The 17,555-nt window shown below is 44.2% G+C and overlaps 6 annotated features.

Annotated features, from left to right (window-relative positions):
• Positions 1,046 to 1,095: an enhancer, noted in NCBI's record as "active region_28696". NCBI's record gives its function as "activates an Ori minimal core promoter by ATAC-STARR-seq in GM12878 lymphoblastoid cells {active_cell/tissue: GM12878}" and the evidence as "EXISTENCE:reporter gene assay evidence [ECO:0000049][PMID:35858748]".
• Positions 2,994 to 3,194: a silencer, noted in NCBI's record as "peak7303 fragment used in MPRA reporter construct". NCBI's record gives its function as "represses an SCP1 promoter by STARR-seq MPRAs in K562 erythroleukemia cells {active_cell/tissue: K562}" and the evidence as "EXISTENCE:reporter gene assay evidence [ECO:0000049][PMID:32103011]".
• Positions 10,895 to 11,428: an enhancer, noted in NCBI's record as "OCT4-NANOG hESC enhancer chr9:101036136-101036669 (GRCh37/hg19 assembly coordinates)". NCBI's record gives its function as "activates a minimal SCP1, AML or CMV promoter by ChIP-STARR-seq in primed H9 embryonic stem cells {active_cell/tissue: H9 hESC(primed)}" and the evidence as "EXISTENCE:reporter gene assay evidence [ECO:0000049][PMID:30033119]".
• Positions 11,461 to 11,995: an enhancer, noted in NCBI's record as "NANOG hESC enhancer chr9:101036702-101037236 (GRCh37/hg19 assembly coordinates)". NCBI's record gives its function as "activates a minimal SCP1, AML or CMV promoter by ChIP-STARR-seq in primed H9 embryonic stem cells {active_cell/tissue: H9 hESC(primed)}" and the evidence as "EXISTENCE:reporter gene assay evidence [ECO:0000049][PMID:30033119]".
• Positions 11,996 to 12,528: an enhancer, noted in NCBI's record as "NANOG hESC enhancer chr9:101037237-101037769 (GRCh37/hg19 assembly coordinates)". NCBI's record gives its function as "activates a minimal SCP1, AML or CMV promoter by ChIP-STARR-seq in primed H9 embryonic stem cells {active_cell/tissue: H9 hESC(primed)}" and the evidence as "EXISTENCE:reporter gene assay evidence [ECO:0000049][PMID:30033119]".
• Positions 16,780 to 17,465: an enhancer, noted in NCBI's record as "H3K4me1 hESC enhancer chr9:101042021-101042706 (GRCh37/hg19 assembly coordinates)". NCBI's record gives its function as "activates a minimal SCP1, AML or CMV promoter by ChIP-STARR-seq in naive H9 embryonic stem cells {active_cell/tissue: H9 hESC(naive)}" and the evidence as "EXISTENCE:reporter gene assay evidence [ECO:0000049][PMID:30033119]".

Genomic DNA, 17,555 nt, shown 5'->3' on the forward strand with positions numbered 1-17,555 from the left:
CCGGGAGGCGGAGGCTACCGTGAGCCAAGATCATGCCACTGCACTCCAGCCTGGGCGACAGAGCAAGATTCTGTCCATAAATTATTTATTTATGATTAGAGTCCTTATAAGAAGAGATTAGGACACAGACACACAGAAGAAAGCCCATGTGAAGACACATCTACAAAGCAAGGAGGGGGGCTTCAGAAGAAATCAACTCTGCTGACATCTTGATCTTGGACTTCTAGCCTCCCAAAGTGTGAGAGAATACATTTCTGTTGTTTGAGCCACCCAATCTGTTCCTTGTTATGGCAACCCTAGCAAACTAATACACACCCTAAACAATGGAGTGAGCTTCCTTAGGAAACTCATTCCAGACATAGCCCAAAGTGGCTTAGAGCACCCACGAAATTTATCTGAAGCCTTGCTCTATACACATAAATAAATATGGGTTCATATCAGACAATTTAGTATAAAATATTTTAAATCAATTTCCAAAAAGCAAAATAGTCAAAGCCTGCCCCCAACCACCTCCCTATGAGGACTGGGGAGAGGGCCAGAGTGCATAAACCTCAGCTGGGGTGTTGGGTGTCAAGAAACGTGGCCACTGGAATTTTCATTTGCCAATTGCAATTTTTAGGGGCCTTGGCTTTCTCATCTGTAAAATAGGGATTATAATACTCCTCAGGGCATCCTGCCAGATGTCTGTGAAGACTGAACGTAATGATGGAAAAATTTTAGTTCGGTATCCCACATCTGCACCAACACCAACATACTCAGGGTTGCTCCAGGGAAAAAAGAAAATGAAGAAGAAAAAAGATCTACGTTTTAAGTTTAGGGATATTATAAGGGAATCTCTGTTGATCTAGGTGCATCAATTGTTGTATATCCTAACAGATGCACTTCTGGTTATTACATCAAAATATGGTCAACACCCCTCCTCACCCTCTTTGCCTTCTGCTGTGGTAGGATTAGCTGCAAGCAACAGGCTGTCAGAAAGCGACATCTTGCGGCCTTTGTGGGACCTGCCCTCCGGGACACAGTACTTGGTGTTCTCAAACTCTTGTCAAGGGCTTAAAAAAGGCACAAAGCACTACTCCCTGTCTACCCAAAACAGTCAGGTTACTAATTTGACACCCTTAAATTCAGTATATTTTAAATGTTTGTCTAACCCATTCATTTAGTGAAGGCATGAGAAACTGATTTTCTATCAGCAAAATCATGTATTTGTGTTCAGTATAAGTTTATTACATGCACTAATAAAGCATTATACTTCAAACTATTTCGAGTTGTCTTCCATGTCAAAATGTTTTCTTCTCTTACAATGGGATAATTTTAGTTCTTTTAGTAATGAAGGAATAACTTACAGGAATGTGGTTATACAGTTTTATTAAAAATGTGTTAAAAATTTTAAGCTTTCTTTTTAGGAAAATATATACTTCCTCACATATCTATTTTTTGAATAATATCATTAATTATTAGCATTATTTATGTTTATTTGACACAGGATTTTCAAATACATATGTTTTAAAGAAATTAGGTTCACTTAAAACTATAAGTCATTTGCAAATGAGATTTCTCACTGATAGTTTTTCTATAAATATTGATTCAGACAGTGATTATTGGAAACTAGAGGAAATAGAAAGAAGGTTTGGTTTTGCATGAATACCTGATAATATAACATGATCTCAGAGGCCAAAATGGTCTCCCCAAGCTACCTGGCAGGATCATTGTAATAATGACCTCTCCATCAGTCAAATCTTGCTTCACTGAACATAATGGAAATTCAGTTCCGCATGCCAAGCACAGCATTTTAGGTACAGAAACTTGAGCAAAATACCCGACACTGCAGACATTGAACATTCTCCTATTTTATATTCCATCTGAAATTCTGAATGTGAAACAGATTCTGCAGAAGGAACTTCAGTTCCAGAGAAACTTTCTTTTAAAGTTATTGTATATTTTAAGAATGAAACAACATGGGGGCTATTTTTAGTTTGATTTTTATAAATTTATAACCAAGAGAAAAGAAAAACTAGACTTCTGTGTTTTATGTTCTTGGTATGCTTGGCAAGAAATGTAGCAAAGTCATTTAATGGGTAGAGAAAAGAAAGTTCCATGGGATATTAGATATCAAATCTTGGCAGTATTTTCGTATATTTTCTAATGTTTCTGGGTCAGGTCACCTGGATTTGAATTCTGGCTCCATCACTCACTCCATCACTCAAGGTTAACTTAGAGTTAACCTCTCTGTGCCTGAGTTTCTTTGTATAATTATGGCACCTATCCCATAGTGTTGTTATGTGACTATGTGAGACAAAATGTGTCAAGTGTTTAGCACAAGAAGCATTTAACAGATGTCAGCTACTAACTTTCATGTGCGTCCGTGTGAAGAGACCACCATACCAAACAGGCTTTGTGTGAGCAACAGGGCTGTTTATTTCACCTGGGTGCAGGTGGGCTGAGTCTGAAAAGAGAGTCAGCCAGCGAAGGGAGATAGGGGTGGGGCCGTTTTAAAGGATTTGGGTAGGTAAAGGAAAAAAGGGGGGTTGTTCTCTGGCGGGCAGGAGTGGGGGTCACAAGGTGCTCAGTAGGGGAGCTTTTGAGCCAGGATGAGCCAGGAGAAGGAATTTCACAAGATAATGTCATCAGTTAAGGCAGGAACAGGCCATTTTCACTTCTTTTGTGGTGGAATGTCATCAGTTAAGGCAGGAACCGGCCATCTGGATGTGTACGTGCAGGTCATGGGATATGATGGCTTAGCTTGGGCTCAGAGGCCTGACATTCCTGTCTTCATATATTAATAAGAAAAATAAAATGAAATAGTGGTAGAATGTTGGGACGGTGAAAATTTTTGGGGGTGTTATGGAGAGACAATGGGCGATGTTTCTCAGGGCTGCTTTGAGCGGGATTAGGGGAGGTGTAGGAACCTAAAGCGGGAGAGATTAAGCTGAAGGAAGATTTTGTGGTAAGGGATGATATTGTGGGGTTGTTAGAAGAAACATTTGTCATTTAGAATTATTGGTGATGGTCTGGATATGGTTTTGTATGAATTGAAAAGCTAAATGGAATAAGAGAAGGAGAAAGACAAGTATTAAAGGTCTAAGAATTGGGAGGACCTAAGACATCTAATTAGAGAGTGCCTAAGGAGATTCAGCATAGTCCTGCCAGCAAAGATTATTTATTTACTTTAAGAGTTAAGACTGGCAGTTTGGGGATAGCACCAGGAGATATCAGCTGTGATGGCTTGGAGAAACAGTGTAAACAAGAGCAGGGCATGTATGAGTAGTTGAGAACGGTGAATAGGAGTATGACTAGACAGGAGATAGTAGGGATGACAAGTTTTTTGGGGCACAGTCCAAGTTGGTCTGGTGTCTGGAATGAGACTGGGGCCTAATAAAAAGGAGCGTCTATACAGGAACTTAAATGGGCTGTACCTTGTAGCATTCTGAGGACAGGCCTGAATTCTGAGAGGGGAAAGTGGTAAAAGTATTGTCCAGTCCTTTTTAAGTTGGTGGCTGAGCTTGGTGAGGTGTGTTTTTTTTTTTTTTTTTTTTTTTTTTTTTTTTTTTTTTTTTGAGACGGAGTCTCGCTCTGTCGCCCAGGCTGGAGTGCAGTGGCGGGATCTCGGCTCACTGCAAGCTCCGCCTCCCGGGTTCATGCCATTCTCCTGCCTCAGCCTCCCAAGTAGCTGGGACTACAGGCGCCCGCCACTACGCCCGGCTAATTTTTTGTATTTTTAGTAGAGACGGGGTTTCACCGTTTTAGCCGGGATGGTCTCGATCTCCTGACCTCGTGATCCGCCCGCCTCGGCCTCCCAAAGTGCTGGGATTACAGGCGTGAGCCACCGCGCCCGGCCTGAGGTGTGTTTTTAAAAGACCATTAGTCCATTCTACCTTTCCTGAAGACTGAGGACTGTAAGGATTATAAAGGTTTCACTGAATACCAAGAGCCTGAAAAAAAATGCTTGGCTGATTTGACTAATAAAGGCCAGTCTGCTATCGGACTGTATAGAGGTGGGAAGGCCAAACCAAGGAATTATATCTGACAGAAGGGAAGAAATGACCGTGGTGGTCTTCTTAGACCCTGTGGGAAAGGCCTCTACCTATCCAGTGAAAGTGTCTACCTAGACCAAGAGGTATTTTAGTTTCCTGACTCAGGGCATGTTGAGCAAAGTCAATTTGCCAGTCCTGGGTGGGGGCAAATCTCTAAGCTTGATGTGTAGGGAAGGGAGGGGGCCTGAATAATCCCTGAGAAGTTGTAGAATAGCAGACGGAACACTGAGAAGTGATTTCCTTGAGGATAGATTTCCACGATGGAAAGGAAATGAGAGGTTCTAAGAGGCAGGCTAGTGGCTTGTACTATAGCACAGCCTGCCTTTGCTGGTGTGTGGCGATTAGGCCTGATGGAACTGCCATCAATAAACCAAGTGTGATCAGGGTGAGGAACAGGAAAGAAGGAAATATGGGGAAATGGGGTGAATGTCAGGTGGATCAGAGAGATACAGTCATGGGGGTCAGGTGTGGTATCAGGAATAATGTGGGAGGCCGGATTAAATCTGGGCCAGGAACAATGGTAATTGTGGGAGACTCAACAAAGAGTGAGTACAGCTGAAGGAGCCGGGGAGCAGAAAGTATATGTGTCAGGTGGGAGGAAGAAAATAGATTTTGGAAGTTATGAGAACTGTAGAGAGTGAGTTGAGCATAGTTTGTGATTTTAAGGGCCTCTAAAAGTATTAGGGCGGTGGCGGCCGCAGCACGCAGACTTGAGGGCTAGGCAAAACAGTAAGGTCAAATTGTTTGGATAAAAAGGCTACAGGGCGCGGTCCCGGTTCTTGTGTAAGAATTCTGACTGCACAGCCCTGCACTCCAGCTGTGGGTAATGAAAAGGGTTGGGATCATTCAGGGAGATCTAGGGTAGGGGCAGTCTCTAAAGTTGTCTTCAGGGAACAGAAAGGAGTGGGGAAAGGATTTAGGATCTATGGGGTCAGCTAGGTTTCCTTTTGTGAGTTTACATAATGGTTTTGTTAGGATGGCAAAACCAGGTATCTAAAGTCAAAAGTATCCAACCATGCCTAGGAAGGAAAGGAGTTGTTTTGTAGAAGGTGCTGGGGTTTAAGAGATCAGTCGGACACGATCGGCAGGGAGAGCACGTGTGTTTTTATGAGAATTATGCCGAGATAGGTAACAGATGAGGAAGAAATTTGGGCTTGACTGAAGTAATGGGGGCTATCTGTGAAGCTTTGCGGCAGTACAGCACAGGTGATTTGCTGAGCCTGATGGGTGTCAGGGTCAGTCCAAGTGAAAGTGAAGAGAGGCTGGGATGAAGGGTGCAAAGGAATAGTAAAGAAAGCATGTTTGAGATCCAGAACAGAATAATGGGTTGTGGAGGGAGGTATTGAGCATAGGAGAGTATATGGGTTTGGCACCACGGGGTGGATAGGCAAAACAATTTGGTTGATAAGACGCAGATCCTGAACTAACCTGTAAGCCTTGCCTGGTTTTAGGACAGGTAAAATGGGGGAATTGTAAGGGGAGTTTATAGGCTTTAAAAGGCCATGCTGTAGCAGGCGATTGATAAGACTTTAATCCTTTTAAAGCGTGCTAAGGGATGGGATATTGGCATTGAGCGGGATAAGGGTGATTAGGTTTTAATGGGATGGTAAGGGGTGCATGATCGGTCGCCAAGGAGGGAGTAGAGGTGTCCTATACTTGTGGGCTAAGGTGGGGAGATACAAGGGGAGGATGTGAAGGAGGCTTTGAACTGGGGGAAAAGGCAGCAATGAGGTGTGGCTGTAGCCCAGGAATAGTCAGGGAAGCAGATAATTTAAATTTAGTTAAAGTGTCTCGGCCTAATAAGGGAACAGGGCAGGTGGGGATAACTAAAAAGGAGTGCTTAAAAGAGTATTGTCTAAGTTGGCACCAGAGTTGAGGAGTTTTAAGAGGTTTAGAAGCCTGGCCGTCAGTACCTGCAATAGTTACGGAGGCAAGGGAAACAAGCCTTTGAAAAGAAGGTAATGTGGAGTGGGTTGCCTCTGTATTGATTAAGAAGGGGACAGACTTACCCTCCACTGTGAGAGTTACCCAGAGCGTCTGTGATGGTCCTGTAGGCTTTTGAGGCGATCTGGCAGTGTCAGTCTTCAGCTGCTAAGCTGAGAAGATCTGGGAAGGAGTCAGAGAGCCTTGGGCCAGAGTTCTAGGGGCCCTGAGAGTGGCTGCCAGGTGAGTTGAACAGTCCGATTTTCAGTTGGGTCCTGCACAGATGGGACACGGCTTAGGAGGAATCCCGGGCTGTGGGCATTCCTTGGCCTAGTGGCCAGATTTCCGGCACTTGTAGCAAGCTCCTGGGGGAGGAGGTTCTGAAGGAAACTCTGGCCACTGCGGTTTAGGTGTTTGGAAGTTCTTGTGTGCTGGAGATGTGGCTGGGGTTTGTCTCACAGTGGAGGCAAGGAATTGCAACTCAGAAATATGTTGCTACTTGGCTGCCTCTACTTTATTATTGTACACCTTAAAGGCGAGGTTAATTAAGTCCTGTTGTGGGGTTTGAGGGCTGGAATTTAATTTTTGGAGTTTTATTTAATGTCAGGAGCGGATTGGGTAATAAAATGTATATTGAGAATAAGACGGCCTTTTGACCTTTTAGGGTCTAGGGCTGTAAAGCGTCTCAGGGTTGCTGCCGAACGAGCCATGAACTGGGCTGGATTTTTCATATTTGATGAAAAAGCCTGAATGCTAACTGATTTGAGAGAGGTCGGATAAAGAAAAAGGAGCATTAACCTTGACTGTGCCTTTAGCTCCAGCCACCTTTTTAAGAGGAAATTGCTGGGAAGGTTGGGGCGGGCTAGTCACAGAATGAAACTGTAAGCCAGACCGGGTGTGAGGAGGGGAGGTGATAAAAGGATTATAGGGTGTGGGAGCAGAGGCCGAGGAAGAATTGAGACCTGGCTCGGCCTGGCGAGGAGCAGCCTGGGGAAGAGGGGAGAGGTCAGATGGGTCTGTAGAAAAGGAAGATTAGAAAGACTCAGCGATGCTTGGGGTTGGGACTGAGAGGACAGGCGGGAGGGAAAGAAGGAGGATTTGGGACGAGTCGCATTGGGAACAGAGAGAAGGGAGGGAACAGTGTGTAAAAGAATGCCTGGACGTCAGGCACCTCAGACCATTTGCCCATTTTATGACAAGAATCATCTCGATCTTGTAGGATGGAAAAATCAAAAGTGCTGTTTTCTGGCTATTTGGAGCCATTGTCAAGTTTCTATTGGGGCCAAGCGGTGTTGCAGAAGAAAATAAGATGCTTAGATTTTAGGTCAGGCGAGAGTTGAAGAGGTTTTAAGTTCTTAAGAACACAGGCTAAGGGAGAAGAAGGAGGAATGGAGGGTGGAAGGTTGCCTATAGTGAAGGAGGCAAGTTTAAAGAGAAGGGTAGAGACACGGAGAAGGGGGTGGGGAACAGCCCTGGGCTGCAATGTGGGCGAGCAGCCAAAGCAGGCGTCCCCGCAATTGACTCGCCACCAAGGGAATGTGGGTGAATGATCAAGGCAGGCGTCCCCGCAATTGACTTGCCACCAAGGGAATGTGGGTGAATGATCAAGGCAGGTGTCCCCGCAATTGACTCGCCACCAAGGGAATGTGGGTGAATGATCAAGGCAGGTGTCCCCGCAGAGATCAGACACCAGTGGAACGTGGGTGAATAATCAGAGAGCTGTCCTTGCAATGATTAAACACCAAGGGAAGGCTGCCTTCCTGAGTCCGTGACCGGTGCTGGAGTTTTGGGTCCACGGATAAAATGTGTCTCCTTTGTCTCTACCAGAAAATGAAAGGAATTGAAATTAAGAGAAGGGAGATTGAAGTGTGGCACCAAGATTGAAAGGAGAAAGAGGTTGAGGGATCGTGAGAGAGGTTGGAGAAGAAAGTAAAAACAGGCCGCTTACTGTATTTGAAATTGGTGAGATGTTCCTTGGGCTGGTCGGTCTGAGGACCCAAGGTCATAGGTGGATCTTTCTCAAGGGGGGACAGGGGATTGATATCCCAAGGGAGGTCCCCCGATCCGAGTCATGGCACCAAATTTCATGTGTGTCTGTGTGAAGAGACCACCAAACAGGCTTTGTGTGAGCAACAAGGCTGTTTATTTCACCTGGGTGCAGGTGGGCTGAGTCCGAAAAGAGAGCCAGCGAAGGGAGATAGGGGTGGGCCGTTTTATAGGATTTGGGTAGGTAAAGGAAAAAAGGGGGGTTGTTCTCTGGCGGGCAGGAATGAGGGTCACAAGGTGCTCAGTAGGGGAGTTTTTGAGCCAGGATGAGCCAGGAGAAGGAATTCCACAAGATAATATCATCAGTTAAGTTAGGAACAGACCATTTTAACAATATTATTATGAATTCTAGGAACCTTTGCTTTGAGCTAATAGGAAACTCCCAACATTCCTTTGATTCAGGTTGTGGTTCAAACTCTTATTTTTATTCCAGGCTAGTTCAAACTCTATTTTTATTCCAGAACAGCAGACAAGCTAGTTTTTCTGTCTGGTGCATATTCTGCCTGTTGCTGGTTTCATTAAGTAACAGGAGACTGTGCTCTCTTAGATAGGAGTCAACTAGATAGTAATGTTCCTTCAACAAGAAATAATGTCCCTTTCAAAATGTATAATGGCCATTGGCCAGAAGAGGTGGTGTGGCTTCATGATCTGCCAATGGCAAGCTCAAGGAGCTGCGTTGCTCATTTCTGTTGAGTTCCTGGGGCTCTTGCTGCAGAGCTGTGCCTTTTGTTGACCTCCTGTGCTGTTCACACGTGCTACAAATCTCAGGGCAGATCACAATGACAGAAGGCACAGGGCGAGAGGGAGAAGTGTGAACACTGCTCTGTATCACTATTTCAAATGAAGGTTGACACCCCAGAATGCAACAAAAGCCACTCACTCAAATGCCTACACAGAGAATACAGGTAATAATATGTATGAGTTAAGTGGGCTGAGTGTAAGGGAAAAAAAAGCTCTACAGTGCAGGCAGAATAACAAATGTCAATTGATACTTGGACGCTGGGTATTAATAGGCGGTGGCGGAGGCTGTGTGAACTGAAGAACATATCCCATATAAAGGAGGCTCTCAGCTCTGTTACGTTTTACAAGAGAACCTTGAAATGCAGGTTTTATTTATATAATGATAATACTAAGAAGAAGCACAAAAACACTTTGTAGGCAAACATTGAACTAGTATAAACATCTGTTTCCTTCAAATGACATGCGTGTCATCAATTTGCAACCTCTGCAACATGGGTCTTTGGGCCTATCCATTTCAACCTCTCACCCGCTGCAGGCATTCCCTCTCCAGTATCCCTGTTGGAACACTTCCTGTGATGGGCTGGTCCCTTCTTCACCAGGCTCTGCATTCTATTATGTAAATGGTTATGTTTACTGAGTTGATGTTGTCTGTTTGGAATTTGCTGCAGTTTGTCCTCCTTTGATCCTTTGGAGAACTGAAGAGTAAAACAGCCTGTTTTATTTTTTTGAGATGAAGTCTTGCTCTGCCACCCAGCCTGGAGTGCAGTGGCACGACCTTGGCTCACTACAACCTCCGTCTCCCAGGTTCAAGCAATTCTCCTGCCTCAGCCTCCTGAGTAACTGGGATTACAGGCATGCACCACCACACCTGGCTAATTTTTGTATTTTTGTTAGAGACAGGGTTTCACCATGTTGGTCAGGCTGGTCTCAAACTTCTGACCTCGTGAGCAGCCCGTCTAGGCCTCCCAAAGTGCTGGGATTACAGGCGTGAGCCACCGCGCCTGGCCAGACAGCCTGTTTTATATATGATGGCTTCCCTAGGAAGTAATTAACAGTTGTCATGCCATACTTTCCCACTACCCCCAAGTCTTCCTTAAACTGTGTCGCCCATGACATAGTTTCTAGGCTTCAACTTGTCACTATCCAGTTCCTCACCTCTAGAAGTGCTCCTTCAGAAACCTCATGGTCAGAACTGGAGGTGTGATGGCAGGGCAAACAAAGGCAGACATCTTGTAAATTTCTTCTCTGAGATGCTAAGCAATGGGGACATCTGCCCTGCCAAGTCACGTCTTCCCCCTTTGGCACATATTTTGGGGTAATTAGGGAATGGGGAGAGGAAAAATATCACTCTTGCAAAGCTATGTGGAAAAGTAGAACAATTTTACTGGGAAAGGCATTTGCTTCAAGCTGACGCATGGGGTTTTTTACAGATGCTGCATTTGTGTTTAACCTGGGACCTCGGATACTCTGAGGGCCACAAAGAGATACAGAAGCCCCCCCGGGAAGAGGAAGAAGTCAATCAGATTGGCTGTCTGGGAAGCCAGCAATGGGTGTCAGGCACTTTTGGGGAGCACAAGGAAGGTTGGGCAGAATCAAGCCTCCCTGAGGAAGGGAGAAGTATGAATAACTCACAACCAATGACCTTGAAAGGGTGGGAGAAGACGTGGGTTGGGAATGTCATTATGGTTCCCAAGGCCTGCAGAGCCCCCAACCCCTCTCCCCACCCTGTCCTCTCAGAACTTCTCACCTAAACCAGTCTTAGGACTTGTAAGGGGTGGAAGTGATGCCCTGAGGTTATGGTTGGAGGCTGTCTATGGAGGTAGGGAGCACCTATATGCTTGGAGATGAGGCTTCCCCAGCTTTGAAGGATCTTACCTCTGGATGGAATTAGCAGTGGCTCCTTAGGGCTAAATGGCTATGACTGCATCCAGTGGGACTACATATAGGGATATAAATATGTGACCATATGCAATTTTTAAAACAAAAATATTGTCATTCTTTACCTATTTTTCTTCATTGCACCCCCTCCCCCTTAATATTATCTCATGGAGCTCTTTTCAAGTCAATAGATATTAGATTTGCCTTATTCCTTTTAACAGCTGAACGGTATTCCATAGTTTCACTCGCTTCCGTGTGAAGAGACCACCAAACAGGCTTTGTGTGAGCAATAAAGCTGTTTATTTCACCTGGGTGCAGGCGGGCTGAGTCCGAAAAGAGTCAGTGCAGGGAGATGGGGTGGGGCCGTTTTATAATATTTGGGTAGGTAAAGTAAAATTACAGTCAAAGGGGGGTTGTACTCTGGCGGGCAGGAGTGGAGGTCACAAGGTACTCAGTGGGGGAGCTTTTGAGCCAGGATGAGCCAGGAGAAGGAATTTCACAAGACAATGTCATCAGTTAAGGCAGGAATAGGCCATTTTCACTTCTTTTGTGGTGGAATGTCATCAGTTAAGGCAGGAACCGGCCATCTGGATGTGTACGTGCAGGTCACAGGGGATATGATGGCTTAGCTTGGGCTCAGAGGCCTGACACATAGTATGACTGTATCTTCACATTCAGGTTATTTCTAATTGTTTCTAGTTATAAATAATGTTGCAAAGCCCATCTTTAAAAAAAAAAAAATAGCCGAGGTCTCACTATGTTGCCCAGGCTGGTCTTGTCTTGAACTTCTGGACTCAAGCAATCCTCCTCCCTCGGCCTCCTAAAGTTCTGGGATTACAGGCATAAGTCACTGCAACTGACCTCCAACATTATACATATATCTTTTTAGATATTTTCTAATATTAATATAGAATATAGAACTAAAGTGGAATCGTTGGGCCTAAGAGAATGCCCACTGCTATGATTTGAATGTATGTGTCCCTCCGCAATTCATTACATTGGAAACAATACCCAATGTGATAGTATTAAGAGATGGAGCCTTTGGGGAAGTGATTAATCATGAGCACACTGCCCTCATGAATGGGATTAGCGCTCTTACAGAAGAGGTTGAAGAGGGCACCCAGTCCCTTTTGTTCTTCTGCCATCTGCTACGTAAGGACTCACCAATAAGGCACCATTTTGGAAGCAGAGGGCAAATCCTCCCTTGACACTGAAAGGGCCTTCATCAGTGGACTGACTTCCCAGCCTCCAGAACTGTGGGGAATAAATTTTTGTTAATCATAATTACCCAGTCTAAGATATTTTGTTATAGCAGCAGGAATGTTTCACGCGCATCCGTGTGAAGAGACCACCAAACAGGCTTTGTGTGAGCAATAAAGCTTTTTAATTACCTGGGTGCAGGCGGGCTGAGTCCGAAAAGAGAGTCAGTGAAGGGAGATAGGGGTGGGGCCGTTTTATAGGATTTGGGTAGGTAGTGGAAATTACAGTCAAAGGGGGTTGTTCTCTGGCGGGCAGGGGCGGGGGACACAAGGTGCTCAGTTGGGGAGCTTTTGAGCCAGGATGAGCCAGGAGAAGGAATTTCACAAGGTAATGTCATCAGTTAAGGCAGGAGCAGGCCATTTTCACTTCTTTTGTGATTCTTCAGTTACTTCAGGCCATCTGGATGTATATGTGCAGGTCACAGGGGATATGATGCCTTAGCTTGGGCGCACAGGCCTGACAGAATGGACTAACATACCCACTTATATTTTAATAGATAATGATGTCATGCCCACAAACAAATGACCATAATTTAAGTAGCAAAGAAAACAAAGTACAAGAAGATAATAAAGATAAGAGCACACATTAATGAAATCATATAGAAAAACACAGTAGAGATGCTCAACCAAACCCAAACTTGTATTTTTTCAATAGAAGAATAAAATACAACCTTGTAACTTTAGTTAAGTCAGAAAAAGGATGCATAGCAATATAACGTATGAAAAAGGGACATAATTACAAATGCAACAGATTAAAAAAATAAGTACTACAAACAACTTTATGCTAATAGTTTGAAAGCTTCCATGAAATAGACATGTTTCTAGGAAAATAAAACTTATAAAACTCACTTGCACAGAAAAAGAAAACCAAATCTGTAACAGTTGAAGAAACTGAATTAGTAGATTAAAATCAACCTACAAAACAATTCTGCTAAACGTTCAAAGAACTGACAACTCTAGGCCAGGCATGGTGGCTCACACCTGTAATCCCAGCATTTTGGGAAGCCGGGACAGGAGGATCGTTTGAGGCCAGGAGTTCAAGACCAACTTGGGCAACATAGTGAGACCCCATCTCAATTAAAAACAAACAAACTGACAATTCTAATTTTATACAAACCCTTTCAGAGATTAGAAAAAGAGGCAACATCCCCTCAAATCATTTTACGAGGCTAGTGATGACCTTGATTCCAAAGCCAGAATGAAAAAGAAAAAATAAAGCATCAAATTTATTCATGATTTTAGATGCAAAAATCCTAAACAAAATAATGGCATACTTTAGTAATGTATTAAATAAAAAATGACCTAGTTAGGTTTACCCTAGAAATGTAAGCATCAAATATATCTACTATTAGCAAATCTAATAATGTAATTCACCAGATTAACAGATTAAAAGAGAATAATCACAATCAGTGCTGAAAAATAGTTTATGAAAATGCAACACTCATTTATGATAGCAGCTAAGGGAAATGGATCATTCCATGTACCCCATTTGGAAAAGCAGACATGATACGGGTTGGGAATGTTCCTTCACTAGAAGTGGTTGGAGGAGTCTTAACTCTTTGAGGCACAAATGCGAAATGATGGACTTTTTCCCAGTGACCAGTTGGACTCTGTGGAACCTTCTTTCCCACTTGTAGCTTCCCTTAATAATATCTCAGGCTTCTCCCTTCATGTTCAGTTACTAAGAATCACTGGACAAAATGATAGACATCTAGATCAATGGAATAGAACTAAGAATCCAGAAATAAACCCTTGCATTTATAGTCAATTGATTTTCCACAAGGATGCTAAGACAATTCAGTGGAGGAAAGAATTATCTTTTCAATTAATGGTGCTAGGATAATTGGCTACCCACATGCAGAAGAATGAAGTTGCACTCCTTACGCATACCTTACCCAAAAATTAACTCAAATGGATTGTAAATGTAAGAGCTAAAACTAAAAAACTTTCAGAAGAAAAACAGAAGTATTTGTGATTTGAGCTTAGATATGACAGCAAAAGCATAAGCAATAAAAGAAAAAAGTAAGACTTCATCAAAATTAAAAACTTTTATGCTTTAAAGAACACCCTCAATAACATGAAAAGATAACCCATTGAATGGAAGAAAATATTTGCAAATCGTGGATCAAATAAGAAACTTGTATCTAGAATACATAACAAACTCTTACATCTCAATAGGAAGAATTCAAATTATTCAACTTAAAAATGGCGCCGGGTGCAGTGGCTCATGCCTATAATCCCAGCACGTTGGGAGGCTGAGGTGGGAGGATTGCTTGGAACCCAGGAATTGGAGACTAGCTGGGCAACATAGGGAGGCTCTGTCTCTACAAAACTAAAAAAATTAGGGAGTGGTGGCTTGCGCTTGCAGTCCTAGCTACTCGGGAATTTGAAGTGGGAGGATTCCTTTAAGCCCCAGGAATTCTAGGGTGCAGTGAGCCGTTGTTATCACACCACTGCATTCCAGCCTGGGCGACAAAGTGAGGCCCCGTTCCAGAAATAAATAAATAAAAGGCAAAGGCTCTGAACAGACATTTTTGCAAAGAAGATATGTCAATGGCCAATAAGTACATGAAAAGATGCTCAATATCTTTAGCCATCAGGGAAATGCAAACGAAAACCACAATGAGATACTTCACATCTACCAGGATGGCTATGAATTTTTTTTTAAAAATAGATAATAACAAATGTTGGTAAGCATAAGGAGAAATTGGAACCCTCATACATGCTGATGAGAATGTAAAATGTTGTAGCTGCAGTGGAAAAATCTGGCAGTTCCTCAAACAGTTAAAACTAGAGTTACCATACAACCCAGCAATTCCACTCCTAGTTATATCCCCAAGAAAAACAAAGACATTATGTCCACACAAAAACTTGAGTGTTCATAATATCATTATTCATAATAGTCCAAAAGTAGAAACAACTCAAATGTTTGCTAACTGATAACATGGATAATAATTGCATAAAGTAAAATGTATACACATACTATAGACTATATTCGGCAATAAAAGTTGAGGCAGTCCTGATCCATGCTGCAATATGAATGCATTATCTTGCATTCATATTGATAACACATGAATTTTGAACCCATTATCTTAAGTAAAAGAAGCCCATCACAAAGAACCACATATTGCAAGTTCCATTTATGTGAAATGTCCAAACTTACAGAGACAGAAAGTAGATTTCGTGGTTGCTTAGGCTGGGGGAACTTGGGGAGAAATAGGGACTGTCAGCTAACTCTTCTTGGAGTGATGAAAATGTTCCAAAGTTAGATTGTGGAGATGATTGTATGAATCTGTGAATATACTAAAAAATTTGAATTGTATACTTTAATTCATTTTATTTTATTTTTTTAGGATCTCAGTCTGTTGTAGTGGCAAAATCATGCTCACTATAACCTCAAACTCCTGGGCTCAAGTGATCCTCCTGCCTCAGCTTCCTGAGTAGCTGGGACTACAGGCGTGCATCCCCCACGCCGGGCTAATTTTTAAATTTTGTGTAGAGATGGAGTCCCCTTATGCTGTCCAGGCTGGTCTCAAACTCCTGGGCTCAAGGGATCCTCCTGTCTTGGCCTCCCAAAGCATTGGGATTATAGGTGTGAGCCACCATGCCTGGCTGAATTGCACCCTTTACAAGGGTGAATTGTGTGGTATGTGGATTCTATCTCAATAAAGCCACAAAAAGTAAAGAGTCTCTGGATGTTTAAAAAAAAAAAAAAAGTGCACTCTTCCCAGGCAGGCACTTGAGGTTTCTGTGACTTGGGGCAGGGAGGGAGGTGATGAGGTTTGCTCTCCCATTCTCTATTTTCTCTGAGATATCAGGGAAAGGAGGCAAGAGAGGGGAGAGGTATCAGAACACTGCTTTCTGTGACTCCTTGCGTGAGGTTACAGTCTTCTTTCTGCTGGCATCACTTCTTTTGTTCCTATCTGGCTGTCTGTTCCTCTGCCAGGCAGGTGTCTGAGTGCTGGCTTTCCAGTGGGTCCTTCTGACACAATCCTCTGGTGAGCAAGTTCTGACTGAACTTCATCCATCTACTTTTTTCCTCAGCCTCTTAGGATGATGAAATTCTCCCAACCTTCCTCAGTGCCCACACAACCCATGGAAAACCCACATCTCCTTGCCAAGCCACCCTGTGGGAATGCCACTGGCTACCCTAGTCTTCCTCTCTTCCGCTCAGCCCTCTCTCGACCTGCCAGCAACACTGGCCTGGGCATTGGGCAGTTCAATGGCGCTGAAGTTTTCAGATGAAAGGCATTGCCAGTCCCTTACTTGGTGAAGGGGAAAGGGTCTGGAGGAATACTTAAGCTACCCCCGATCTTATGGAGGGAGGGGAACTTATTTAAGCCTTCCCGGCTCCCCCATGGGATGAGAAGAGATGGCTGCTGCTCATGAATTCTGCTCTCACTTGCCTCCTCTTCTTCCCTGTGGTGGGGGTGACTTGTGAGAGAAAGTGGATGCTGGAGCGCTGGTTCTGCAGAAGTCCTGTGAAATTATGACTTCCAGCAGCTCCTGCATGGAGATACCGGCCCACATCTGAAGGTCCTTTGAACTCAGAATGGAAGCTCTAAAATCAAATCCAAGACTACTTGGCTTTTGCACTACTGAGTTTGAATTAACCCCAGGTGGTCTTCTCCACGCTTAGTGAGAAGATGGTGGCCTGCAGCTGCTTCTCCTCCCTCCACCCTTTACCTGAGCGGTGGAAATGACTTGAGCTTTTAGAGATGTGCGTGGGACACTTTCTCTAATTTTCAGAGACCATCTAGATAGAATAATCTTTATGGAAGAGGATATGGATTTGCTCTGATTGGTTGGGCCATTGTAGCAAGAATTAAAGAGAGAGGAGTTGAATGTGCAGGTTTCTGACACTACTCCAATCTCAAAACTTTCCCTCCCTCCCTCCTCCTTTCTTCCCTCCCCACTTTCTTCCCTTTTTTCTTCTCAGTCCATTTTCTCGTCGTTTGTCTGTAATCTCTTATTTCACAGAAAAAACTCAGAACTGGCTTTTCTTTGCAGATGGGGTGAACACCTTCCATCTTGCCTCCCCTGCCCTGAGATGCTGGCAGAGTCCTTCTGCTAGATCCTGGAGGCCTGGTTGAGTGGCCCAGGGTGAAGATCTGGGATGGGGGCATCTAGTCAATGGGCAACTTGGGCATAGGATTTTGTGTCTGCATAGGTTCTTCTCTGCTGTGGCAGAGCTGCCAGCCTCTAGCCCTGAGTGAATCGGCATCCTTCCTGATGTGGAGGTCGCCCTACCTCTTCAGTTAGTTTTGACCAACTCCCCACCTCCACCTCCACTCCCATCGAGGGGCTGGTGCCTTCAGAGCTGTGGCCACCACAGCCATGGCAGGTGTCTGTTGTCATAGCCGCCCAGGAGCTCTGGTACTGCCATCATCATTGCCACTGTCACTGTTGCTCAACATGGAGCTGCCCCTGCTCCCCCAGGCTCCCTTGCCCTCAAAACCAGGTGTCCCTGAGGCCCAGAATCTCCCAGGGGCTGGTTTATGAGTCAACCTGAGGAGCCCAGGGGCCTGGAGTGTATCTCCCAGCGTTGCTCTGAGCCACTGGCTTGCTCATGGTCACATTGCCTGGGCCAGAGGCTCTCAGACTGGGGCCTAGAGCCTCAGATGATGCCCTTGGTGAATCTTGGGGGTCTGCAAATCTTCTATAAACTGAAAAC

Source organism: Homo sapiens, chromosome 9 (assembly GCF_000001405.40).
Source record: "Homo sapiens chromosome 9, GRCh38.p14 Primary Assembly".
In the NCBI taxonomy this organism is placed as follows: domain Eukaryota; kingdom Metazoa; phylum Chordata; class Mammalia; order Primates; family Hominidae; genus Homo; species Homo sapiens.